Genomic DNA, 26,525 nt, shown 5'->3' with positions numbered 1-26,525 from the left:
TGCAACCTCCACCTCCCAGCCGCCTGCCTTGGCCTCCCAAAGTGCCGAGATTGCAGCCTCTGCCCGGCCGCCACCCCGTCTGGGAAGTGAGGAGCGTCTCTGCCCGGCCGCCCATCTGGGATGTGAGGAGCCCCTCTGCCTGGCTGCCCAGTCTGGAAAGTGAGGAGCGTCTCTGCCCAGCCGCCATCCCATCTAGGAAGTGAGGAGCGCCTCTTCCCGGCCGCCATCACATCTAGGAAGTGAGGAGCCCGGCCGCCCATCGTCTGAGATGTGGGGAGCGCCTCTGCCCCGCCGCCCCGTCTGGGATGTGAGGAGCGCCTCTGCCCGGCCGCGACCCCGTCTGGGAGGTGAGGAGCGTCTCTACCCGGCCGCTCCGTCTGAGAAGTGAGGAGACCCTCTGCCTGGCAACCGCCCCATCTGAGAAGTGAGGAGCCCCTCCGCCCGGCAGCCACCCCGTCTGGGAAGTGAGGAGCGTCTCCGCCCGGCAGCCACCCCGTCCGGGAGGGAGGTGGGGGTCAGCCCCCCGCCCGGCCAGCCGCCCCGTCCAGGAGGTGAGGGGCGCCTCTGCCCGGCCGTCCCTACTGGGAAGTGAGGAGCCCCTCTGCCCGGCCAGCTGCCCTGTCCGGAAGGGAGGTGGGGGGGTCAGCCCCGACCCGGCCAGCCGCCCCGTCCGGGAGGTGAGGGGCGCCTCTGCTCGGCCGCCCCAACTGGGAAGTGAGGAGCCCCTCTGCCCGGCCACCACCCCGTCTGGGAGGTGTGCCCAACAGCTCATTGAGAACGGACCATGATGACAATGGCGGTTTTGTGGAATAGAAAGGGGGGAAAGGTGGGGAAAAGATTGAGAAATCGGATGGTTGCCGTGTCTGTGTAGAAAGAGGTAGACCTGGGAGACTCTTCATTTTGTTCTGTACTAGGAAAAATTCTTCTGCCTTGGGATCCTGTTGATCTGGGACCTTACCCCCAACCCTGTGCTCTCTGAAACATGTGCTGTGTCCACTCAGGGTTAAATGGATTAAGGGCGGTGCAAGATGTGCTTTGTTAAACAGATGCTTGAAGGCAGCATGCTCGTTAAGAGTCATCACCACTCCCTAATCTCAAGGACCCAGGGACACAAACACTGCGGAAGGCCACAGGGTCCTCTGCCTAGGAAAACCAGAGACCTTTGTTCACTTGTTTATCTGCTGACCTTCCCTCCACTATTGTCCTATGACCCTGCCAAACCCCCTCTGCGAGAAACACCCAAGAATGATCAATAAAAAAAAAAAATTTAAAAAAAAAAAAACAAAAAAAAAACACCGTGCACTCAAAAACACAAGCTGACATACGAGGCATAAGGACACATGGGCCTTCTCTTACCATCATGCATGCACACACATGCACACACACACATGCATTTATGCACATACACCTATACATGCAGTCATAGACAGACCTACACGCTGGCCAGGCCCAGGCTTTGTATGAAGTTCAAATATGCTCTGTCTGCTCTGCTCTGCTCTGCACATAGGTATGGGGGCCTGCACTGCCCCCCGCCATGCTTGGGGCCCCCAGCAGCTGTATTGCCTGTTAAAAGTTCCTGAGCCCACCTGCCTGGGCTCTATCGGCATCCCTGCCCCTGCCATGGTCCTGCCCCCTGGTGTACCTGCTGCCTTCTCCCCAGCTCTATGGGTGGGCAGGGAGCTGGGCCTGGCCAGGAGGACACTCCTGGGGGAGCTTCCTAGAGCTACCCACAGGCTAGGGAGAGGTCTCCAGGGCTTGTCTGGGCCACTGCCCAGCCTTGGAGCAGGACGCTCCTTCCCTTGGCAGCCACTTGCTGCCTCCCTCCTTTCCCCTCAAGGTCTCTGACCGGTCAGGTTCTTTCGAAGACAATTCAGAGGAAGATTATGTGCAGGAAGTTTGCTGAGAAGAACACCTGTGGAGAGTGACGCAGGCAGGACTGGACAGACAGAGGGGCTGGGCTGCCCTGTGGTCACAGCAAAGGCCTCAGCCACCCCGGGGAGGACAGAGGAGGGGAGGAGGCCCTGCAGCCTGTCCCACATGGGGCAAGGGGATCTGCCTTCACACTGGTGCATTTACCAGCCGCTGGATGCTGGCTGTCCCCCGAAAATGCTGCAACCTCAAAGGAAGAGACCAAGGATAACCACGAGGAAGAGGAGCTCAGCTTGGCGCAGTCAGCCATTCACGTCCCCCCGTGGCTGGAGAGTGGGCACTGGGGTCCTGAAGGGAGGTACGTGGGCAGCACCTAGGTGGCCACTATAGTCTCCAAAGGATGAGGCGCCCGACCCCCTCCTGCTGTAGGCCTCACTCACGTCCCTCCTGCTGCAGTTGAAGTCTCCTCTCTTGAGTCTTTCTGCACCCTGCTCCCCGTCTGTCCGTCCCACTCCATCCCATCGCCTTATGCTGGTGTGGACGGCTCCACATTGCAGGCTTCAGATTCCCTCGCAGGAAGCCAGAGGGTGAGGCTCCCGCCAGCACCCTCTCTCTCGCCTCTCCTGATGCCCTAAGTCACCTCTGAACACAGGGGTGCTAAGTCATGGGCGAAGCGGTGAGGACACCCCCTCTGACTGAAGTCCTTCGTGAATCAGAGCAGCGGGATAGGGGCTGAGTCTGATTTGCTCTGGGCTGACAAGACAGCGGTGCGGGCTTGTGACTATCATTCAGCAGGCTCTGTGGGTGGCAGAATGACAGGATCCCCTCTTACCTCAGTCCTCTGTTGATGTCCCCACCACCCATTTACTCTCACACACACGGTGCTGGCAGGAGTAGGAGCTGAAAGCCTTTGGATTCGAAGCACACTTTTAATTTCTTCTCCAGGGAAAGTGTGAGCTAGAGAGTGCTGGCTTTGAGACGAAGGGGCTGTTCCACCTAGACTATATTTCATCTGTCCTAAGGAACACATTTGTTTCACACTTTAATATCCCTGAAATTGAAATCTGTCTAACAATTGGTGGCATATCCTAGTTTAATCAGCAGCATTTTCCCCCTTCATGGTAAAATAATGGTTCCTTTAAAAATCACTGGTATCTTAGATTTGATGAGACTGGTACTTTGCATCCACCTGGGAGGCAATGCCGACCTCTCCACCCAGGGACATGAGGGAGGCGAGGGAAGGTGACCGGAGGCTGGGCTGCTTTCAGCACCCAGGGCAGTGAGGGAGGGGAGGAGACAAGGGACTGGGCTGCTTTCAGCACCCAGGGAGGTGAGGAAGAGGAGGGAAGGAACTAGAGGCTGGGCTGCTTTCAGCACCCAGGGATGTGAGGAAGAGGAGGGAAGGAACTAGAGGCTGGGCTGCTTTCAGCACCCAGGGAGGTGAGGAAGAGGAGGGAAGGAACTAGAGGCTGGGCTGCTTTCAGCACCCAGGGAGGTGAGGAAGAGGAGGGAAGGAACTAGAGGCTGGGCTGCTTTCAGCACCCAGGGAGGTGAGGAAGAGGAGGGAAGGAACTAGAGGCTGGGCTGCTTTCAGCACCCAGGGAGGTGAGGGAGGGGAGGGGACAAGAGACTGGGCTGCTTTCAGCACCCAGGGAGGTGAGGGAGGGAAGGGGAGGGGACAAGAGGCTGGGCTGCTTTCAGCACCCAGGGAGGTGAGGGAGGGGAGGGAGGGACTAGAGGCTGGGCTGCTTTCAGCACCCAGGGAGATGAGGGAGGGGAGAGGAGGGGACAAGAGGCTGGGCTGTTTTCAGCACCCAGGGAGGTGAAGGAGGGGAGGGGAGGGGACAAGAGGCTGGGCTGCTTTCAGCATTCCCTGCATCAGGCTTTCACTGGGCAGCTTCGGGATATGGGCCCTCCCAAGGCCTCCTGCAGGCAGATGAAGAGCAGAACCATGTTTTGGAGCCAAACAGAAAATTATTTTTGGAGACTCAGGGCAGAAGTTTACCTCTGGTGCCCTGCAGACCTCAGCTGCTGGCGGCCAAGGTCCTCCTTTTGAAGCCTAAATAAAAGTAGCTGAAGCTAGTCCAGCCTCCGCAGCTGGGGCGATGACAGCGAAGTGAACGTGGGCGCGGATGTTCCAGGGAAGAGGGCTTGGGGCTGCAGCTCCAGGCGAGGCCTGTTGAAGTGTTAATGGGCACCATCTCGAAGTGAGAGAATTAGCCCCATGGGGCAGCCAAATGTAAAAAGCCTGGGAATTTAGAAAGAAAATGCTGCCCTGGAGGAGAGGCAAAATGGGAGAGCTCCGGATGCTGAGCTGAGTGGAGAAGCACGTTCTGGACCTCGTCTGGCACAAGCAGCAGGGAACCCCTGACACTGCACTCAGATGCTGGTTCTCACCGCTCCCCTAGAGGCTTGGTGAGCTCCCAGATGGCCATCTCAGCAGACTCCTGTGGGGCAGGTGGCAGGAGGATGATACTGAGATCCATGCCTCTTTCAACAAGCAGCAGAGACAGGAGAAAGCTACTTTGGCCACAGGGGCAGGGGCGGGAGCAGTTGTGAGCCAGCATCTCCAGAGGGAGACCCCAGGCAGAGAGGAGGCTGAAGGACCTGCCTGGCAATGTAGGCTGAGAGCCCCACTGTGTGAGACACTATGCTCCCTCCTCACCCCCTCCGACCTGAGCAGAAGCAAGAGGGTCTGGGAAGCCTGGTTTGCAGGAGAAGGCCAGGAGAGCAGGGCCCTGGAGCCCAAGCCCTGCAGGACGCCTGGCCAGCCCAAGCCAGCTTCGTTCATTCCTACACCTCATAAATACCTGCTGAGTAGCAAAGCAAACAGGCAAAACAGACTCCTCTGAAGGACTCTACGTTCTAGTGAGGGGAGAAATACATTAAACAAAGTAAACATAGAATGACATTGGTGCTAAGCGCCACAGAGAAAAATACAACAGAATGAGGAGGTTGGAACGAACAGGAATACCTCTTTCTACCACTTGGGCAGGGAAATCCCTCTGGACACATGTGACCAGAGACCTAAATGAAATGAGGGCAGGAGCCCTGGGGGCATCTATGGGAAGCTTCCTTCCACACAGCATGCCAAGCAGTGGTGCAAAGAGTCCTGCCAGGGCGGGACTCGGATGATCCCAGACTAACAAGCAGATCAGCGCTGGAGTGGAAGGAGGCAGTAAGCAAGAGGGACGTGGGCGCAGGGAGGGAAGTGGCATCCAACTCCACAGGGCTTTCTGGGCCATGGAAAGGACTTTGGCTTCCACTCTGAGTGGAAGGGGAGTCTATAGAAGGTTTGAGCAGAAAGGTGTGACCTGGCTTCAGTTTTAACAGGATAACAGACAGCAGGGGCAAAGGGCAGGTGGCAGGGACGCTGTTAGAAAGCCATTGTAATCTCCAAGCAAAAGATGACAGTGGCTGGATTGTGGATATATTTAGATGGCAGAGCTGATGAGATTTGCTGACAGATTGGATTCGGGATGTCTTCCAGTTATCTATTGCTATACAACAAACCACCCCCGATCCTTGGTGGCTTAAAACGACCACAGGCATTTATTTTGCTTATGAATCTGCAAAACGCAGACAGGGCTCAGTGGGGAAGGCTCCTCTCTGCACCACATGATGTCAGCAGGGTGGCCTGGGAAGCAGGATGAGTCCCGTACAGCTGGTGGGCGCAGGCTGATGCTGCAACTGGGGCTTGGCCTGGCCCATCCACCTGAGGTCTCAGCCCCTCCTCATGTGAGCCTCTCCTGGGGCTCCTGGGTTCCAAGAGCAAGCATCTCAGGAAGCCAAGGCAGAAGCTGCAGGGCTTCTTACCATCTAGCCTCAGAAATCCCAGAACATCACTTCCTACTGCCTTCTATTGGTCAAGTGAGTCGCCAAGGCTAGCCCTGATCAAGGGGAGAGGAATTAGACCCCACCATCTCTCAGCGGAGAGAACAAAGAACTTGTGGCCATCATTACTCTGCCACACAGTGTGAAAGAGGTGAGGCGAAGGTGACTGCGGGATTCTTGGCCTGAGCCACTTACGTCCTGGTGTATGCCATTAGTGAGGCAACTGCTTCTCTCTCACCTTACCCTCCAGAGGCCAAGCTGTGGGCCTTGTCCAAGCCCCCTCCCTCACAGGTCTTGTTTCTTCCTGTCAGATAAAGGGTTTGAATGGGAAGACAGTTGTCCCTTCCAGCCCTGGGACACTAGCAACAGGGCTGGGAGCAGCTTCCTTATGGGGCCCAGGAGATGAATGCCCCCTCCTCCCAGGAGCTACTCTTAGAACCTCGGGTGGGAGGCCTGAGACAGGGCTGGGGTGGCTGGCTGGGAGGCACTACAGAGCAGGGGCCTGGCCTGCAGCCGTTCCACTCAGTATCCTGCCTCTGCCTCTGGGCCAGAGCCACCCATGTGTCCTACCTACACTCAGGAAACAGGTGGACAGGCCCTGCCCATGAATGCCAGGTTCTGATTTCCAAGCCTTTATCTCTCAGGGCATGGCCAGGAATCAGGAGACCCAGAGGAAATCAGCCAAGCACCTGCCCACTGCAGCCCCACTCTGAGCCAGGCAGCCTGGGTGGAGGACTCTGACATGCTTTTCCTGATGCAGAAGAGCGCCAGGAGAGGGGGTTGCTGCCCATGGCTGTGAGCACACGGCTCCACCCAGCCTGGTCCCTCACCCTGCACAAACACCTGGGATGGCTGAAGGGTATATGTCTTCCTCCTGCAGGCAAGACTAGCAGAATAGGGACTCCCCACCCTGAAGAAAAGACTCCAGCACAAACTCTCATGTGCCCATGAATGTCCTGGGGTGTATCCTTAAAATACTGAAGCTGATTCAAAGATTCTGCGTTTCTACCCAGTCTCCAGGTGATGCCAACGCTTCTGGGCCACAGGGCAAGGGGCTGGTCTAGCCAGACCTGCGGCTTCCCAGGTGGACACCCCAGAGGACTGCAATACAGACAGCCTGGCTAGAGGGACGATTGTCCAGGCCTCGTCTCACAGATGAAATGGACAGCAGCTGTGGCACGCCAAGCACCTACAATGCTACCATCACCAGCTGGGTTCTGGAGCGAGAACACACAGGTGGATGGGCTCTGTGACCTTGGGCAAATTCCTTTGTCTCTCTGGGTCTCTTTGCTCATCTGCAAAATGGAAAGAACCCTGGAAAGTGGGAGAGAAGGAAGGGTCGGGAGAAAGGGGAGAGGAGGGATGGGGAAGAGTATTGTGCAGGAGACCTGGGGGAGCATTGAAAAGGAGAGGTGAAGGGAGGAGGGGGCAGAGAAAGAAGGGAGGGGAGGAGGGGGCAGGGCGAAGGCAGGCAGTCGGGGAACCTTGAAGGCAAGGGGACTCAACCAGAGTTGTAGCTGTGGGATGGCGCGAGAAGAAGAAAGTGAGGAAGAGTCTGGGGCTGGTTACCAGGGACGGCCTAGGTGTCATGGAGGAGGTAGGCAGAGAGGGTGGGCCCGAGGGGGATGCAGCGCTCTCCCTTCGTCCCAGGCTCTCAGGTGCCAGGGAGAAATGAAATTCTAGCTGCAACCCTTCTGGGAATCATCCTGCCTTTTCATTTATGGGGAATAAGTCGAAAAATGACTGGAGGAGGTGCCACCACATTATTATTATTATTATTATTATTATTATTATTATTATTATCATCATTATTATTATTTTGGCAATTGCCGCAAAAATGTCTCCACTGGGAGTGTAAAGCCTATCAGGATGGTTATGTAATGGCCGGATGCCTTCATCAGGCTCAGCACCCGCAAGCCTTCCTCCACAGGGCCATATTTAACCCAGGGTCTCTGCGGCCCAGACATGCCTGCAGTCCTGCAATGAGCTGCAGGGTGGAGGTAAAACACCCACCACCGGGCCTCTCTCTGGCAAGCCTGGCCCTGGTTCCACCCAGCTCCACAACACAGCCCTGAGAAGGGACACTGAGGCACAGAGACTTCTCAACCCCTTTCTGGACCACCAGACCCACTCATTTGTACTGGCTTTCCCCACCGACTCAGGGGCTTCCTGGGACCGGAGTTGACCTGGGGCCTCCTTGAAGAAAAGAGAAATGGCTCTCTGTGCTTCCTATAGTCCACTCTCCCAATGAAAACGTTCTCTTTTGATTTTTGTCCGAAACAGTTCTTTGTTGTCTAAGACTAGGAGGGGACAGAGAGGAGAGGGCGGTGGCAGTGGGAGGGGGACAGGGGTCCTTGCAGGAAACAGAGGAATGATGTCAATATGCTGCCAAGGGTAGAGGCTGTCATCAAGGGCCTTTACAAGGCACTGTGGCAGTGAGGGTGCAGTGTTACACAGGGTGTAATTCATAAGGGCCCAAACCCAGCAGTGCCTGCAGAGCTCAGCCCAGGGACTGGGGTGGCCCATGCCCTCCTCCAAGGGGGAGCAGCCCCTGCCACCCTTGGCGCACACTGTACCTTGACCTGGAGTGCCCTCTCTCTCCCGTGCAGTTATGACTTTACTCATTTCTCAAGGCCCGGCCCAGATGCCACCTCCTCTCCGGAGCCTACTCTGAGCCTTCCAGCCTAGGTCTCCCACCTTCCCCGCGCTGCCCGAAGCCAGCTCAGAAACGACATCCATGGAAGAAACCCACCATGCCCTGTGGCTGATCTGGCCTCTTTCTCCAAACACACTGGGAGCTCCTTAAGGGCAGTGCGGCCCTCGTCCTGGCTCCTGTGAAGAGCCCTTGGCAACTCCCTCTTCCTGTTTCATAGGAGGAGCCTCACAACTCCAGCACTTCCGCACCCAGCCTCCTGGCCCTAAGCACGGAGAGCCGGAGAGCCGCTGCCTCATTCCCCTTCACGGCCCTTAGCCCCCCTGGCTCTACATATTTTAGCTGTTTTTTGGTTTATTGTCTATTTCTCCTGACTAGAATGTAAACTCTGTCAGGGTGACTGTTTTTGTCTGTTTTCTTCTCTACTGTATGCCCAGCATCTGGAACAGTGCCCAGCACAGAGTAGGTGCTTAGTAAATGTTGGTTACACACAGCTCTTTACAGAGTGAATTATGCAGTAGAGTTTTTTCTTGCCTTGATCCACACACATGCAGCAACCGAAGGGAGGTGATTTGTTCTGCACTGGAAAGGGCAGGGGAGAAGGGAGGTCTTTCATACCACTTTGAGGTCTCATCCCCTTTCCTAGAAAATCTGGAAACTGATAGCATCTCTCCATAGAATTCTCTTTATCCAGAGCATAGGCCCTCAGAGAGCTCCAAGAACAAATATTTTTTTGCTCACATCTTTTTTGGAAAACATTCAGAGAACACCCTGCCTTTTTGAGAGGAGAGAAGTACAGTGACTCCCCCAGTGTCACCACTCAGCAAGTCAGTGGCCCAGCCAGAGCCACCTCCGGCGCCAGGCCAGGGCACTGGCCATGCCCACACTGGCTGTCTCTGCCACCCACTGAGGCTGAGAGAGGCAAAAGACCAGGAAAGGGGCTGACTTTGGAGTTTTGATCCAAAACTGGGGCTGGGGCTCTGGGGAAGGCCCCAGGCCTAGGAGCTTCTGCACAAATAGAGCTGGTTCTCAGGCTGGAAACCAGACCACCTGGGCCAGCGCTGTCACCTGGAGCCTTGTGAGAGCACCACCTCCTGGGATCCAAGCATGGGGTTCAGTAGGAATCTGCATTCCTAACACAAGCTGATGCTGCCAGGAGGAGGACCAGCTTTGAGAACCACTGGCTTAGAGAAAACATTCCCAGCTCTTCCTAGGCTCACGCTGGGGAATTCGACTGGGAATTAAGCTGTGTGAGGGACCTTTGCTTTGTATTTATCCACTTAGGCATTGTTATGAACATTTAAATACCTGTAGAGATTATTTTTGTAATAATTTTCAAAGTTTAAAAAAAAAAACGAACAATTCATGCATGGTATGAATGGCAATTATCTATTCAACCTAACAAGCATTTATTATGTGCCTACTGTGTGCAGGCCAAAATTTTAAATGAGTAAGAGGCAGTCCCCATTGTCTAGACACAAAGCCGTGATGGGGAGTGAGACAAATAAAATAGCATTAATAGAAAGGAGGAGGAACGATGCTAGAGGTGTTTACAGATACAATGGGGACACAGGTGGCAATTAATTCCACCTGAAGAATCAGGAAAAGCAGCCAGAGGAAAGGTAGCATTTTCACTCAGCCTTGAAGGACCCCAGCCAAGGAGAACAGCATGAACACAGCCTGGAGAAAGGCAGGATCTGCATTTTTAAGGAACTGGACCAAAAGCCTGGGGTTGGTCAGATATGGGGGTTGGAAGACGCTGGAGGTGGGCCAGAAAAAGCTGGTGGCGGGCAGGTGCTGAAAGTCCCTAAGTGGCTGTGACTTCACAGAAAGAGGAGCCATCAGGCATTCAGAAGCAAGGCTGAGGGTGGATGGGCTGGCAGGAGGAGGAGAAGAGAGTCTGGAGACCAGGGAGAAAGCAGGTGCAGACATCCCGGAGAGGGGTGATGGGGTCCTGGGTTGGGGACAGTGGAGCAGCAGCACTGGGAACAGACATTGTTGACTCCTGGCCTGAGGGAGGAGGAGGGAGAGAGAGGGGTCCATATGCCCTGAAGTTCCCAGCTTGGCCACAGGGATGTGCCAGCGCCGGGACCTGTATCACATGGTCCCGCCCTATTTCCTCAGCCACAGTTGGTTGGTCCATGTCCAGGCACCTGATCCAATTAGGTGACGAATCCGGGGGTGAGAGGGGCAGCACTGAGATTCTGCCAGAGGCCTGCTCTAGAAGATTCTTTGCAAAATATGTATAACTAAGGCCTCAGCCTTGATACCTGCACCCTCTTGGTCCCAGCACGGGACTGGGGACTCAGCCCTGTAGTCACAGGAAAGGAGGGCAGAAAGGGCTAGTGCAATCCAGGAGGACCTCCTAGAGGAGCCAGCTGGATTTGGATGGGCAGAAGGAAAAGCAGAAGCCATGCAGGAGCACAGGACCGGACAGGACCTCAAAGTCCATCTCTTCCTTTCCAGCCCTCTTCGGGGAGGAGCCCCAGTGCAGCCCAGCACCTCCGGGAAGGGGCTCCAATTCCCTCCTCCTCACCCCTCTAGCCTGGGGTCCCAAGAGTGGCTCTGGTAGGGAGTGTATGGCCTCTCAGCAGATGGGGAAATGAGCCCAGAGAGAGCAGTATCTTAGTTCATTGTGTGTTGCTATAACAGAATACCACAGACAGGGTAATTGATAAACAATAGAAGTTTATATGGTTCACTGTTCTAGAGGCCAATAAGTCCAATATCAAGGTGCCAGCATCTGGTGAGGGCCTCCATGCTGTGTCATCCCATGGCCAAAGGTGGAAGGGCAAGAGGGCACAAGACAGCAAGGGTAAGAGGGGGCTGATCTTGCCTTTATAACAAGCCCACTCGCGAAATAACTAACCCACTCCTTCAATAATGATATTAATCCATTCACGAGGGCAGAGCCTTCATGGCCTAAGCACTTCTTAAAGGTCCCACCTTTCAACACTGTTGCATTGGGGATGAAGTTTCCAACACATGAACTGTGGGGGACACATTCAAACCTTAGCAGGCAGCAACTCACCTCAGGTCACATAGCCAGTTAGTGGTCCTACAGGACCCCAAATTCAGGCCTCTTTCTCCTGGGGAGGTGGGCAGGCTGGGCAGACCTCCATGTGGCAAAATCTCCCAACCTATATAGGACATAGAGGATTGGCCCAGAAATGCTGACTGGGAGCCCCGTGTAGACTTCCTTGGGCACCGAGTCTGAGAAGCCCTGCAAGCCCAGTGCACCCCCTCCTAGAAACTCCTTCAGCTCCAGCCTGGGGTGGGGGTCAGGAGGTTAGCAGCACTGTAGTCTCACAGCATCAGACAAATGCCTTCCTGCTCCCACTTCCAGCTACCTCCCATCTGGCCTGGGGGTGGGTGGCAGGGTTCTCTAAACCCTCCTTCCAGAGTGCCAGCCACAAGCTGCCCGCCACATGGGGAAGAGAGGGAAAGCGGAGAGAAAAGAGGCTCTGCTTGTGCCAGCCCAGGTGCCTGTAGACCGCTTCTTGGTGGCAGGGAGCCACTGCTGTGTCACAGTGGAAGTGACAGCAGTGACAGGGACCTAGTCTGATCCACTGGGATGCAGATGGATGGTAGCATGCTGCATTAGAAGAGGACACAGATGCCCCTGCAACTGGAGTCTCCCCAGGTCAGGACCAAGCCCACTCAGGGCCTGGGTGACAGCAGGAAACCCCAGTTCCTCTGTTTCCTGCCTCGCTGTGTACCAATTCTCCCTCCCACCACACACTCTATCCTTCTTTCTTTTTTCTTCCTCCCATCTCTCTCCCACCTCCCTCAGTTCCCCTGCTTCCCTGCCCCCTCCCTCCTCCTCCATGGTTGTTATTCCTTTCGGTTAAGCAATGCCCTCCCCTTGTGTCCTCTTTGTAAATCCTCCTGGAGAAGTCCTCAGGTTGTTTCAGTGACTTCCCTGGAAGGACACAAATGAGAACACAAAATGGGGGGTGAAGAGCATCTCCCTCCATTCTCCCATTTGGCCTCTTGAGCCCTGCCTTGGGACTGCAACGACAGGAGAAGAAGCCAGAAAAAACAAAGGGGAGGCTGGGAAGCGGAGAAAGCACCAGCACCTGCCCACAGGGAGGAGTGGGGACGGGCAGGGGGAAAACTGGGTCGACCCCAAATTTCAACCCCGGAAGTGCCCAGAGCTCCACTCTGGCAGGGGCAGGGACCTGGGAGAGCCACCTTCCTCCACATCCCTAGCTCTCTCTTGAGCCTGAAGAATATGTGTCACCTGCCTAATGAGGCACAGCAGGTGGAATGGGGTTACGAGGTGTCAATGAAGCCATTCCCCACCATGCACAGCAACCATATGTGGCAGGTCTGTGGCAGGAACTGGCCCGTGATCCCTGTCACCCCACAGTCCACCTCCTGGGGAGCCTGAGGCCACTGCTGTTCATTCCCCAGTGGCTGCTGTCAGCCGGCACGCCCAGCCCCATCTGGCTCGAGAACTGTCAAAGATCTCCTACATCGCACGCCAGCTGAACACGGCCTGCAGACTGAACGTACTGTCCCACACACTTGCACTGCCATTTTTCAGATGTCTAAAGATGCTCTTGTGATTAATAAAATGCAAATGCATCCAAAACGTTGCTGAACCCATAGTGGATTTTTGTCATTGGGAATTTCATACACAGTGACTTGTACTGAAAGCTCAGTTGAAAGTTTTTATTTTCAAAGTGATGCTGGGTTTTATTCTTTTTTGGTTTTCTTTTTAACTTTTTTATTCTGGAGAATTTAAACACACACACACACACACACACACAAGCAGAGATAATTGGGGAGCCCCAGATACCCCTTCCCTAGCATCAGCAGCCCTCAGCTCTTGGCCGGTCTCATTGCATCTACGCCGCAGCCATGTCCCCTGCCTAGTTATTTTGAAGTAAACCCCGGACACCATATCATTTCCTATTTCAATCTTTTACTATAGATCACTAAAAGATAAGGACTTTGTTTTTAAACAGAGTCAAAACACCAATATCACACTTAAAGAAAAAAGCTTAATGGTAATTCTTTCACATCCAGTCGTGTTCAAAGCGGTTGAGACTTTTTTGTCAACCATGGATCTTCATGCTTGAAAAGGCGGGATCCACCGGCCTGTGTGTCCCTCTCGTTTGGTCGTAACTGTGCCTGCTTTTTATTCCTCCCAACCTCCTCCCCATCGTGGTGGGTAAGAACAATCCTGGGCCAGAAACCGAGTCAGAATCCTCTTCCCTTCCAAACCCCCAGAGGAGAAGCGAGTCAGGGCCGCTGCTATGGGCTCCACAGTGGCTGTTCCATAAACACGTGTTCAGTCGAATTGAGCTGCATTTTGATGCTGCAACACAGGTGTAGATCGAAGGCCTCAGCTCAGAGCATAGTGAAAAGCAGTGGGCACCCCACCCCCAGCAGGAGCAGACACTCAGGGAGAAGGTCCAGGTCCAGCACGGGGGTGGGGGCAGTCAGCTTCCCCCTCTAGGTGTCCGGAACAGAGCCCACAGCCTCAACTATTCTGCTGAAGGGTCTTGCCTGCCTGACCTCTGTGCCACTCCATCAGGTCCTGTGAAAAGTTGTGCCTAAGCACCCTCCTCTCTGCTCTACATCGAAATGCCACCTCCTCCTGGGAGCCCTCCTGGAGCCCATCTACCATGAAAGGCCCACTGACCTTTATCCTCTGTGTCCTCTGGACTTTGCCTGGCCCGCCCTTTACTGAGGTTGTGAATCATTTGCTTCCCCTTCGATGTAGCTGTGAGCCCCTGAAGGGCAGGGACAGTGCCTTGTCCATCTCCATATCCCCCATGGAAAGCTCTCAGCAACTGCTAACAGCTGAACAAACAGCAGACCATATTTCTACCTGGAGATGTGCCTTCCTTGCTGAGATATTTCCATCCTTATTGATTTTCTCTACCCCTTTGATCATTTTCTCCCTTTTTAAGCCAGAGCTTCTCACACACAAATCCATTTATTTTGCAAGCTCTTAGTAAGCACCATTGTGTCTCAGGTGCAGGGCTAGGCAGTCACTCTACTAACAGCGAGGCCAGCAGGGGTGCAATGACACGAACAGCGTCACGCATGTGTAGGTATGTATGGATGCAGGTGGCTTCTCCAAACCCTCCACACATGGGTTAGATCCTGCAACCCCTGGGTTCACACAACCCCAGGCCTGGCTCTCCTTCACCTTCAGGTGTTGGCAACTCAAACCTAAATCAGACAGCTGGTCCCGTCCTTGGTGGAGATGACATTTAAGTTGAAGAAAGATTTTCACATCCATGTCTCATTCAATTCTCAGGTCAACCAGGAAGTGAAGGATTGGAAGAGACAAATATGCCCAGTCATCAGTAGATGAAAGTGAAACACAGAGAGGTTGTGCTTTGCCCAAGAAGCACACAGCACAGCAGGGAGGGAGAGTGCCTGGACCTGAATCCAGCTTCAACACATTTCAGGGTCCACGAAGCCAGCCTCCAGGAGACCCCACGTGCACAGTGCTTGGTCTGGTCCCACCCCCAAGCCCTTTGTCATCACCCAGAAAACTCCCTCCTCCCTGTATCTGGTACTAAGAGAGTTGGGAGGGGCCTCCAAAGTCCCCAGCATGGCCTACCCCCTTCCTTACATTAATATTACAGTTGAGGTAACCGAGTCAAGATGGGGAAACGCCTCAGCATGGATTGAGCACCTACCAGACACACCAGCCTCTTGGCATCCATTGTCTATTTAATGCTCACCCCACCCCAGCAAGGCAGACCTTGACCCCATGATCTACATGAAAAGGGGCTCCAGCCAAGCCAAGCCCCAATATTTTTGCAACCTCATTGGCCAGAAATGGGAACAAACTTCTATATCAAAGCTGTCAGCACTTCTCTGATTCGTGTTGTGGAAAGACAGCTCTTCTGTTCTGAGAAAAATAATTTAGCAGATTTTTTTGTGTAAAAGTGCAGCTAAACTCCTCTTCTGGACTGGAGAGAGTGGATTTGATGAGAAGCACATGATTTTGGAGGCAATGTGGCCTCTCTCTCTCTGTCTCTCAGCTCAGCAGAGGTTGGGGATCTGGACCATGGGTCACAGGGTTAGGGCCAAAGGCGCTTTCACTAAAGGTGTAAGTGGCCGCTTGGTATCGGTCCAACCTAAAGTGAGAGCCACCCAGTGGGAGAAGGGTTGGAGAGGTGCCCGTGGAGGCAGGATCAGGGCACCTGCCAGCCAACTTTTCTTTACACTGGCTAAGCCCTAAGTAAAGCTTGTTTAAACCCCAGAGCCTGGTCTTTGCCAGACTTTGCAAATTAAGGGAATTAGGCCGTGTCCCAGCTTGGAAGGAAGGGGTTGAGGAGGAAGGAATTGACCTGAAAGTGCCCACAGTGAAGACATGGCAGGCAGAGACCAGGAACAGCTGTCAGTGGGAGCGAGATGCTGGCAGAGCTGCCACCACGGATTTTGGGAGATGTGCAAGAATTCCTTAGGGATCCCTAGAACTACTTGGGAGGGAAACCTGAAAAAGACTGGACTTGCCACATGGCGGGAATGGGAGGGGCTCAGAGTATCGTCGCCCTGAAAATCACAGACCCCATAGACCGGAGAAGTCGGACACATCTGGGTCACTACCGATGAGAAAACTGAGACCCCTGAGGCCAGATGCATTGCCTAACACTCTCCCAAAGCCCCTGCTCTTCTGGCTGGAATACGAATGCAGCTCTTCTGCTTCAGCCCTGCCAGTTCCTCAGGAGAACCAGTTTCCCCCAGGCTGAGCGGCTGGTTGGCCCAGTTCCTTTGCTCACCATCTCCTTGCCTCTCAGTCAGAGGCTCCTCCACCTCAAGAAGGCATGCGGTTCTTAGCAGGGGCAGCCCGCCCTGACATGCGTGTTTGCCCTCCACCTTGGCTCTGATTGACTTTTTACTTCCTGCCTGTCCAAGCAATAATTAGGATTCCTTTTTCCATATTAAGCAGCTGCTGTCATCACCACTTCACAGCTCTCCTAATCACATTTCCCCTTCTTCTCTTTATTCTGGAGGCAGGTTTCTGACAAGTCCCGTTTCCATTCCCTGCAAATAAAAAAAAAAAAAAGAAAAAGAAAGAAAGGAGAAGGATGTTGAAGATAGAGACTGGAAAGGTGGGGATGGAGGTGGCAGATCTGGGGGTGGCTTTCTTAGAATATGAACAAGTCCAGCTCTGACTTCCAAGGCAGACTCAGCCTGGATGGAACAAAGATCACATCCTGCAGAGGAACTAGGAGGGACCCTCATGAATCCATGGCCCCCAGACTCACCTGTCCCTGATACCCGAATCTCCTCATTATAGATTTATCCTTTTGAATAGGGCTTGTTAGAAATACAGATACTCCTGGGCCAGGCACGGTGGCTCATGCCTGTAATCCCAGCACTTTGGGAGGCTGAGGCAGGCGGATCACCTGAGGTCAGGAGTTCAAAACCAGCCTGGCCAACATGGTGAAACCCCATCTCCACTAAAAATACAAAAACTAGCCGGGCGTGGTAGCACACACCTGTAATCCCAGCTACTCGGGAGGCTGAGGCAGGAGAATCACTTGAACCCAGGGGCCGGAGGTTGCAGTGAGCCGAGATTGTGCCAGTGCACTCCAGCCTGGTTGACAGAGCTAAACTCTGTCTCAAAAATGAAAATAAAAAATAAAAATAAAAATAATACAGATACTCCTGGAGGAAGACTTGTCAAACTCAGAGTGATTTTTGGTGGCATCTGTGAGGATCCTGTGCGCCTGCCCCCTTCCCCTGCTCTGCAATGGATCACAGTGTGCTGCCCCCACAAACTACATTTCCCAGGCTCCCTGCCTGCTGGCTTCCTGTCAGGTTAGACCAATAGCAGTCACTGGCTGGAGGCTGGTAGGAGGGAGAAGAGGAGAAGCCTGGGTATTTCTTCCCACTCCTCTGATCTGTGGTGTCTCTGCCAGTGGCTGTTTATTGGCTTCCAGAGTTTGTCCCTCCACAATTCCAGTTCCAGTTCCAGCCTGGGAGGCCCCTGGGTAGCCCCTTCTCTGCATCCCAGCTCCCACTGGGCAGCCCAGCTCCCAGGCTGTCCCTATTCCTCCAACCTAGGGTGGAGCAGATTCCTGCCATTAGCAATCTTCGGATCTTTCTTTCCCCATCTCCTGCTCAGCTCCCCCAGCACCTCTGGAATTTTTTTGCATATTATATTCCCTGATTGAACTGCCTGGCGAAAGCTCCGTTTTCCTGCTTGGACCGTCACTGATAGAGCTTCTCACCATTAAAATATTCAACACGGAACTGTGGATGCCACCTCGCCTAACACATATCTCTTCCTTCCTCAGTTTTCTCCAGCTGATTAAATACCACCGCCGTCCACACCACACTCAAGTCAGAAATCTAAACATCACCCTTGATTCTTTAATCACCAAATCTGCTTCCAAGTATATATTCTGAATCTTGGGTTTCCATCATCACCATCCTCCCTCCCCTGGCCTGTGGCCTCCCGACTGAGGTCCCTAATTCTCATTTCCTCCCACAATCTTCTTTCCACATGGTACCCCGACCCACACCATGTCTTCTCCCCACCGTCTAATGTCCCTCAGTGGCACCCCCTTCAAACTATCCAGGGTCAACCAGGATGTGTGCCCCCTGTGGAACACCCCCTGCTTCTGGCTATCTTAAGAAAAGAAATGGGGGGCTCAGAAGTGATGACAGGAGGCTCTAGATTTGGAAAACAGGTAAGAGGCATCTGTTAGTGGGAACAGCCTATGCAGAACACCCCCAAAGCTCCCCCATTACCACTGAGAGGGAGCCTGACTTTTTTCCATCTTTGGCCACTTGAGACTCAAAGTCCAGGGCAGAAGTGAGCAGTCAGCCAAGCCAGGTTATGTGGCAAATCCTAGCTGAAAGGGAGAGAGAGAAAGGATGAGTCCAGTCCCTCTAGCTCTCTCCCTCTGCCCCCAGATGGGAGGAAGGGTGGCTGCTGACGGTGGTCAGGGAATGATAAGTGTCCTCATGTGGCTCTTGGGGCCTTGTGGGATGGCGTCTCTCTCCTCCTCTCCACAGCTCATCCACCCACCCGACTGCCCCCCCGGGCCCACTCCACACCATGTGGAATGTCAGTTTCTAGAACACAGCCAAACTCCTTCCTGCCTGTAGAGTTTCCCGGTAGGGCTGCTCCTGGCAGAGGAGTGGCACCCATGGCCCTGGCTGCCCACAGTCCTCTTGCTCGCTCCACTGCCCCTGCTGGAGGGAGCGGTAGGGAGGGTGGGAGGGCCAGGTCTTGCTGCGGTTGGCTGTGTGGGGTGACCCTCATCCAGCCTTTGGGCCAGTGCGTGTGTGAACCCTCAGTGTTGTCAGGGCAGCGCTCCGGCTGCTCCCCCAAGGGAGCGTCCTCTGGTGCCCTCCACCTTCCCCCAAGGCCTGGGATCTGCAGTTGGGGGGGCTTCTCCCAGAGGCAGGGCTCACCTCACTGGGTGTGGAAACCCTGCCTCTCTGTGTCCCATCTCCCAAACACATTCTCTCCCGCCTCCCCCAACCTCCTTTACCACCAACAGCTGCAGAATTTCAGCCCAGAGCATAAAAGACAGGTGATTGTCTTTGCCTTTGTTCTTTTAAGAAGAAAAACAATGAGGAGACAAACCCTAGGAAATCAAGTGAGGGAAAAATCCAATCCTGCTTTCTGAGGAAATGTTAAATCAGCGAACTGAAATGCCGACATGAAAGCAGGAAGGCCGGTGGAACCTGTCACACCCGGGCCAGCAGGTGGGTGGTGGTGGGATGGGGCACAGCTGGGGAAGGGGCCTGCAGCAGCACCAGGCTGAGGCCCCAGAGTTCATACCCCGTGGCTCCCCTTTGGCACTCTCTGGCCCCTGGGCTCTCATAGTCTCTCCCCACCCAGCAATACAGCGTGATTCAGGGAGAACTCTCTTGCTTCAGCCCCTCCCATCACCAAATTATGCTTAAGTCCCCTGCCCCACCCATCGTGGAGGAGAGCACTCCCTCCTGGTGGCCTCAGTGAGTTTGGCCTCCTTGGCCCCCCAGGATTGGCCCCTTAGGCTGCACCTCCTGAGAGAAAGTGGCCCTGTTGCTCTCCGTACCCCCCGAGAGAGTTAGCCCTTGAAGAGAGGACTGCATTCCTGTTTCCTGGGCACCCACCAATGCTCAGTGCCCTGGTCAGCACCTTACAACTTTGGACCTGCTGGACACAGGAGGGATCCGAGTGAAGCACACAGGGGCAGTGAGGAAGGAAAACGTGGCTGCGGTCTGTGAAGAGGGCACATCGGGGGTAGCCACTCAGTGCTAGGCTGTCGGATGGGGTGTGAAGGAGACCAAACGATACTTGGAGAAGAGAACAGCAACCAGGGAGGCAGCACCAAGACGGAGCAGGGTCAATGGGAGGAAGAGGAGGCTGGGGCCCCCTCCCTGGTACTTGAGCTGGGCCCAGGCCTGAAGAGGGCATGCGGGACCTCAGGGATGGCAGCTTGGGGGTGGGAGGGCGAAGGGAAGCCCCTCCGTGTGGTTATCGCCATGCCCAGGCTGTTTTGTCCTCTAACGAGCCATCTCCTCCCCATGCAGCATTGGTCCGTGTGGTTCTGTGTAGAGCTGGCCTCTGTGGGAGCCTCCACACACTAAGCCGGCTGGGGGTCTTTTAGGAGTCCTGGCCCTGTCATCATGAGCTTTTTGGAAAAACACTGGGGGGACAAACTGGACCCCTGTAACAACCTGACAAAGCCAGTGGCTGAGGGGAGGGCTGGACTCGCCATTTCAGCAGCCCCTTCCCTTGGGAGCTAACAGCAAGCCCCCGCCCCCCGCCCCCCGCCCCCCCAGAGGGAGGCTGAGCCCGCCCACGCTCCTCTCTCCAGCTTCCTGAATCTCTTGTTTTCCTGAGTACCCTTGAATGAGGGTAATCATTCCAGAGACTCAGCAGGCGACGTTTGGCTGCCCTTAGGGAAAAGGGAAATATGTCCAAGTCTATTTGTTTAAATTATTCAGCCCTCCAAGTTTCAAAGCTGCGTGAAGGGTGGCCGGAGCCATCAGCACCACGGACAGCGCACTCGGGCCCAAGAGGCCACCAGGTGCCCTGCAGGCTGGAAGCTGGGGAGGGGGTGGCTTCTAGGCCTAAGAAAACCTCACTGCCGAGGCCCTGAGAGCACATCCCTTTGACTGCAGCTTGAAGGGACATCGGATAAGGAATGTCACCGGCGGGCCCAGTTGCCTGGTAATCAACCATCCTCAGTGCCCTGCATGGAAAGGCAATTTAGGCAAGAATTAAAAAGCCATCGCATCATTTAAAATCCAATAACACAGCTGGCCTGAAATGTGTCCCCAGTCTCTGGGGAGGGTGGAGGTGGGGTGTGGGAGATGCTGAGGGCAGAGGGATGTGACAGCGAGGGAAGAGAGAGGCAGATGGGGAGAAGAGGATGGCATGGGCATGGAGGTTCTTGAGGCTGCACACCTTCTCACCACCCAGCTGAAGTCTGCTCACCAGCCCCCTCTTAAGAGCCCTTTCTGATGACTCCAGCCTTAACGATATTCTCTTTTCTGGAGTCCTTCAGAGCTGGCTGCCCATGCTAAGTGCCGTCTCCTTGTATTCAGCATTGATTCCTGGCTGTTCATCTTTCCTTCTCGAGCAGAACAAGTTCTCCTGCAGGGCTAGGCTGTGCTTACAACATCCGTGTGCACACCCTCACCCAGTGCCAAGCACAGAGCTCAACACTAGGTAGTAATTATTCACCACTCACCAGTGGGTCCATTGCTGCACCTTTTACATACTGCTCTGAACTGAACATAGTCCTGACCCACTCTGCATTACCTCTCTGCAACCCAGCAAGGCCATCCCCAAATGAAAATAATAAAACTTGTGTTAATCACAAGTCTGTGTGTTAAATGCAAAACAAGTAAGGGAATTTCCCCGTTTCATTGCCAGTGTCTAAAAAGGGTTCATGCACATTCCTTCAGGTAAAAGCTCTGAATTCACTTAACCCTCCTAAGAGAGCCAGAGAATTCCTAATCTACTAAGATGATGTTAACCCTTTTCACATCAAATAAAGCCCTCCTGCAGGTAATCTTCCTGTCACAAGCTGACTGCCTTGATGTGACTTGGAATTGAGTGGGGATACTCCATTCCCTTTCATATTCCATCCTCCTTGGTAAAACCTGAAAGCAGGAGGATTCAGGTTTGATTGGATCTGTTCTTGCAATTTATGCCTTCAGTCCCTCGAGGGCTTACACGTGTCTATTTTAAATAAACTCCCCCTTTTTTATCTCCTTTTTACAAAGAACAACTCAAATCTTCTCTGAGGAGAGCTTTACTTTGGGATGGATTTCAGTTCTGACAGTCCAACATTCATGAGACAGGCCCTGGGTGAATAATGATTGAATGAATCATCTCTGTGATGGAGTCTTGCTTGAGAGCTGGGGATATTCTCTCAAGGTCCTGCAGCGCTTTTGGCTGTAATTTCCTAATAACTTGGTTGCTCTTTCAAGGAAAATCTTATTCTAAGAAGTGGAGAAGGGAGAAAAGGGATGGATGGTGTCAAGGGAGGGAAGGGTGAGCTCTAATGCCCCTGTCTTCAGAAGTGCTTTGGGCAGCTCTTTCTTGTTTTAGATCTAGGTAAGAGGAGCTGAGGCTTGCCACTATCTAAACTGCTGTCTCCAAATTCATCCTGCCTGCGTCCTGGATGCTGCAGTGTGAACACAAGATCATGCCTCTGGCTCACCCTACTATCCTGCTTGAGATTTCCGGACCTGCCCATTTGCTGCATAGTTAGATGTGGCACACACGAGGCCACAAGGATTAGGAATGGAGGATTGTGGTCATTTATGGTGGCAGATCTGGCCTCTACTTAGCCAGACATCTGTGAAGGGGTTTGGGGCCTGAAGTCCCCAGGGAATGGAAGGTGAGACTGGCCCCTTATACCAGACCTGACCAGCAAACAATTTCACACTCAATTCCTTGGTGAACTCACCCTCCTCCACCAGCCTCTCACACTTCCCCAGATGTGGGGAAAAGCAAGAGAGATCAGATTGTTACTGTGTCTGTGTAGAAAGAAGTAGACATAGGAGACTCCATTTTGTTATGTACTAAGAAAAATTCTTCTGCCTTGAGATTCTGTGACCTTACCCCCAACCCCGTGCTCTCTGAAACATGTGCTGTGTCAACTCAGAGTTGAATGGATTAAGGGCGGTGCAAGATGTGCTTTGTTAAACAGATGCTTGAAGGCAGCATGCTCCTTAAGAGTCATCACCACTCCCTAATCTCAAGTACCCAGGGACACAAAAACTGCGGAAGGCCGCAGGGACCTCTGCCTAGGAAAGCCAGGTATTGTCCAAGGTTTCTCCCCTTGTGATAGTCTGAAATATGGCTTCGTGGGAAGGGAAAGACCTGACCGTCCCCCAGCCCGACACCCGTAAAGGGTCTGTGCTGAGGAGGATTAGTATAAGAGGAAGGCATGCCTCTTTCAGTTGAGACAAGAGGAAGGCATCTGTCTCCTGCCTGTCCCTGGGCAATGGAATGTCTCGGTATAAAACCCGATTGTACGTTCCCTCTACTGAGATAGGGAAAAACCGCCTTAGGGCTGGAGGTGGGACCTGCGGGCAGCAATACTGCTTTGTAAAGCATTGAGATGTTTATGTGTATGCATATCTAAAAGCACAGCACTTAATCCTTTACATTGTCTATGATGCAAAGACCTTTGTTCACGTGTTTGTCTGCTGACCCTCTCCCCACAATTGTCTTGTGACCCTGACACATCCCCCTCTTCGAGAAACACCCACAAATGATCAATAAATACTAAGGGAACTCAGAGGCTGGCGGGATCCTCCATATGCTGAACGCTGGTTTCCCGGGTCCCCTTATTTCTTTCTCTATACTTTGTCTCTGTGTCTTTTTCTTTCCTAAGTCTCTCGTTCCACCTTACGAGAAACACCCACAGGTGTGGAGGGGCAACCCACCCCTACACCCAGATCTCACCCAGCCACCCAGCCCAATCCCTGGACCCCAGAGGAAACAGAATCCTCCCCTTTCTCCTGCCACTCCAGAGTGGGCTGGTTGAAGGAGACCCATGTGACTGCCACCCACAGCTGTCAACGGCAGAGGCTGCATGTGGCCCGCTGTTTCCATTTGCAGCTGCTGGCAGCCCCCCAAATCCAAAAGTCATCAGCCCAGCAGATGTGGGGAAGTCAACAACTGAGGTTTGCTGATGCAATGGAAGAGAAAAAATTTGGACAGCTTGAGTGTTCTACCTGAATCCACCCTGGATAAGACTGACATTTGAAACAACTTTGGCTCCCATCCTCATGGCCTAAAACCTCTACCAAGACTTCTTTCCTTCTTAAACATGAAAGTGCAAACTTTTCTCAACCACAGACTTCAGACTTCCTTAATCATTTATGAAAATGTGTCAGCTGTCCCTGCCTCCTGTTCTAGCGCCTGGTGCCCTCAGGTCAGGGAGCCAGGAGCGCTGCCTGCCCTGAAGGGGTTGAAGAGAAAGAAGAGGCTTTGGCTTACAAGAGGCCAACCTTTCCTTAGAATTAATTCATCACTTCCAAAGCAATCTGCTTTCTCTTCACACGCATCCATCATTGCCATAAAAATATTAAAACTCGATTAAAAGGAGATCTGGTACCACAAGCTCAATTCCCAGAAGAAACAGAAAAAAAAAAAATCCCATAGAAGTCCAGTGCATAGACCCTGCTCTTAGCACCCACACCCCGTCCTTGGAAAAAAAGTTATGTGATCTCTTCTTGAAGTTTTATAGCAGCAGCTTTGGCGATAAGCCCCCATAAATAGAAAGGAAACCCAGAAGCAAGTTGGTGACGGGACATTTCTAGGAGTATTTTAAACCCCCAGGGAAATATTGACTGGGAAATCCGCAGGGATGCTATTGTAAAACTCAGCCGAGTCCCCAGGTTGTGTGCACACTGTCAATAGTCCTTGAGGCTGAACGAAAAAGAAAAGCATTTTATTGGATTGTTTCGGGTCCAGGTTGTCAGTGCACATTGAATGGACTCAACAGGAAATTGGAGATGCAGGAATGTTAATTCAAGTAGCAGATGTAACACACAAACAAGAAGCTCGGAAAATTGGAAATTAATCCTGGCCAGACCCTCTCTGTGTCAGTGTTTTCCTCTCCACTTGCACTGAGTCTGTATCATGGGGCTCTTGGCGTATGGTTTCTGCTGTGTGTCATTTCTCAACAATCATTTGTGAGTTCTGAAAAAAGATCCTGAGCCATAGAAGGAAAAGAATAAAAATACTCCACAGGTCACCAAAGCCTGTGTCCCCTGGGCCAGGACAAAGTCGTTGCCAAAATACATCTCTCAGAGCTTTGCTTGACCCAGTTTTAAACGTCGTCACCATCAACTCGTAATTTTGCTTATGAGTCCAGTTGCACACCTCTGGCTCTGTAAGGGACATCAAGGACTTTAGATGCGAGGGCTCAGCAACAACTCTCTCTCCTCCTGCCCTCCCTCCTACACCTGGGTTCTTTGCCTTGCTTTAGCCTTTGCTTAACATGAGGGATGCACATTTAATTGTTACCAGCGTTCTGGACAAGCCAACCTTTTGAAACCTTTCATTTTTCATTGTTATTCCTTCAGCTTTGGCACTCCTGCAATCCTTAGGCTGTTTTGGCTCCCCTGAACTCTGCCTTTGTCTGGCCGCTGCCCTCTGGCTCATTGAGGAACCCACCTGGAGAACAGGGTGGTGTTCAAGCTGCCCCGCCCGCAGGAGCCCCCAGTTGCACCTTTTCTTCTTGGCTGGTCCCTCCCTGTCACCCATATCCTCCATCCTGTGTCCTCGGGGCCTTGGTGTCATATGTCCAGCAGCCCACCTGGCCATTTCCAGCACGCAGTTCTAACTCCCGACATCTTCTTGTATTAGATCTCTGTCCTCCCTGATGTTTGCTATATCTCCCAATTTAGTATCATCTGCAAATTTAATTAACATGTCGTTGCCTCCCTGTTCCAGACCGTTAATGAAGATGTTATGGCGGTACCTGGCAAACAATATTTTCAAGGTCATGAGGAGAGGAGAGCTAAACTGCTAATACCTCTGCCTGCTGTGGGAGAAAGAAGCAATCAAGTGCTCACATGTGGTTTGAGCCATTTCCTCTGAGTTTTGTCAACTTCCTTTCCCAGATTGGGGTTAGGTTTCTACGCCTCCCCTCTGCCTCGGCTGCTGCATATCCGTGGCAATTCCCACTTGGAAAATGAAGAACATCAGATTATGCCTTCCTTTTATTTTTGTCTGGTTTCTAGCAGGAGAGAAACAGCCACTAATTGAGCATTTGTAGGGAGAGCCAAGGTACATGGTAAAGACAAAGTAGTGGTTATTAAGCTTGTTATCTACCCAGCTCCATTTCTAAAGCACTAATCGTGGCAGTGGAAAATGCCCAACGAGGACCAAGGCACAAACAGGGGAGAGAAGACGTATTCCTGGTGAGATGGTTCCCAAAGGGCTGGCTCACACAGCCTGCAGCCCAGAGGAGTGTGAGGGGAGGCCACTGCATCCCAGCAGCTTGTGACCCCAAAGCAGACCTGGAGCCCCCTGTGAGTCTACATTCCCCTTCTGCATTAGCAGGCATAGCTCATTGTGAACCCTGGTTTGCCTTCCTTCCACACCAAACTGCAGATGTCTCACTGTAATACTGCAAATTACTTGGGTCAGAAACACTGAATCATGGGAGCGATCCAGGTTAGTGCTATTCACGCCCAGAAAATTGATCCCGGGTTATTTACTGTTTCCCGCACTTCCCTTCTCCCCATCCCTCACTACAGGCCTGTCTTGGGCTTGGAGGCTCCTAATCATTTCTCAGACAGAGTGTCTTGGAGGCATCTCTGGACCAGAGCCCAGACTGGCCCAGCAGAGGCAGGGCACGGATCTCAGACCTCCAGTGTGGAGGGGCCCTGGGAAAGTGGCCTCAGATGTCTCCTTGTGCTCAGTGGATAGGCCTGGTCCGCCATCTGCAGTCCTCCTCCCAGCCCAAGCCTGGCATCTCCAAGCCTAAGGACACACAGCACAAGCGGCACTTGTTCCGGTTGGTCAGCTCAGGTTGCCTCATGCTCAGAGACCTCGCAGGGGATGGCTTAAGGAGAGAGTGACAGGTTTGTAGAATTGGTACCAGGCCACTGTTTTGTGTCTTCCCCAGCTATAAACATCCCTATGCACATTCACCAAACAATGAGGGGCAGGAGAACACAGTTATTTAATAAAAAAATAAAAACTTGA

At 53.1% G+C, this 26,525-nt stretch overlaps 1 long non-coding RNA gene across 2 annotated transcripts, besides 6 other annotated features; it reads left to right on the top strand.

Annotated features, from left to right (window-relative positions):
* Positions 3,889-4,183: a silencer, noted in NCBI's record as "tiled region #9014; K562 Repressive non-DNase unmatched - State 20:ReprD". NCBI's record gives its function as "represses a minimal TATA promoter and a strong SV40 promoter by Sharpr-MPRA in K562 cells {active_cell/tissue: K562}" and the evidence as "EXISTENCE:reporter gene assay evidence [ECO:0000049][PMID:27701403]".
* Positions 11,083-12,915, top strand: LOC105375025 (uncharacterized). Of its 2 annotated transcripts, none has more exons than XR_926711.1 (3): positions 11,083-11,171; positions 11,867-11,999; positions 12,773-12,915. It is a non-coding gene; the product is annotated as an uncharacterized LOC105375025 (long non-coding RNA). The 2 variants fall into 2 exon arrangements; XR_926710.1 differs by having other exon boundaries at positions 11,736-11,999.
* Positions 13,796-14,297: an enhancer, noted in NCBI's record as "H3K4me1 hESC enhancer chr6:33786695-33787196 (GRCh37/hg19 assembly coordinates)". NCBI's record gives its function as "activates a minimal SCP1, AML or CMV promoter by ChIP-STARR-seq in naive H9 embryonic stem cells {active_cell/tissue: H9 hESC(naive)}" and the evidence as "EXISTENCE:reporter gene assay evidence [ECO:0000049][PMID:30033119]".
* Positions 19,686-20,446: an enhancer, noted in NCBI's record as "NANOG-H3K27ac-H3K4me1 hESC enhancer chr6:33780546-33781306 (GRCh37/hg19 assembly coordinates)". NCBI's record gives its function as "activates a minimal SCP1, AML or CMV promoter by ChIP-STARR-seq in naive H9 embryonic stem cells {active_cell/tissue: H9 hESC(naive)}" and the evidence as "EXISTENCE:reporter gene assay evidence [ECO:0000049][PMID:30033119]".
* Positions 20,447-21,208: an enhancer, noted in NCBI's record as "NANOG-H3K4me1 hESC enhancer chr6:33779784-33780545 (GRCh37/hg19 assembly coordinates)". NCBI's record gives its function as "activates a minimal SCP1, AML or CMV promoter by ChIP-STARR-seq in naive H9 embryonic stem cells {active_cell/tissue: H9 hESC(naive)}" and the evidence as "EXISTENCE:reporter gene assay evidence [ECO:0000049][PMID:30033119]".
* Positions 21,970-22,731: an enhancer, noted in NCBI's record as "OCT4-NANOG-H3K27ac hESC enhancer chr6:33778261-33779022 (GRCh37/hg19 assembly coordinates)". NCBI's record gives its function as "activates a minimal SCP1, AML or CMV promoter by ChIP-STARR-seq in primed H9 embryonic stem cells {active_cell/tissue: H9 hESC(primed)}" and the evidence as "EXISTENCE:reporter gene assay evidence [ECO:0000049][PMID:30033119]".
* Positions 24,543-25,043: an enhancer, noted in NCBI's record as "H3K4me1 hESC enhancer chr6:33775949-33776449 (GRCh37/hg19 assembly coordinates)". NCBI's record gives its function as "activates a minimal SCP1, AML or CMV promoter by ChIP-STARR-seq in naive H9 embryonic stem cells {active_cell/tissue: H9 hESC(naive)}" and the evidence as "EXISTENCE:reporter gene assay evidence [ECO:0000049][PMID:30033119]".

This window comes from Homo sapiens, chromosome 6, assembly GCF_000001405.40.
Source record: "Homo sapiens chromosome 6, GRCh38.p14 Primary Assembly".
NCBI classification, from domain to species: domain Eukaryota; kingdom Metazoa; phylum Chordata; class Mammalia; order Primates; family Hominidae; genus Homo; species Homo sapiens.
Note: the sequence above shows the minus strand (reverse complement) of the source record. Positions and strands in the feature narration are given on the sequence as shown.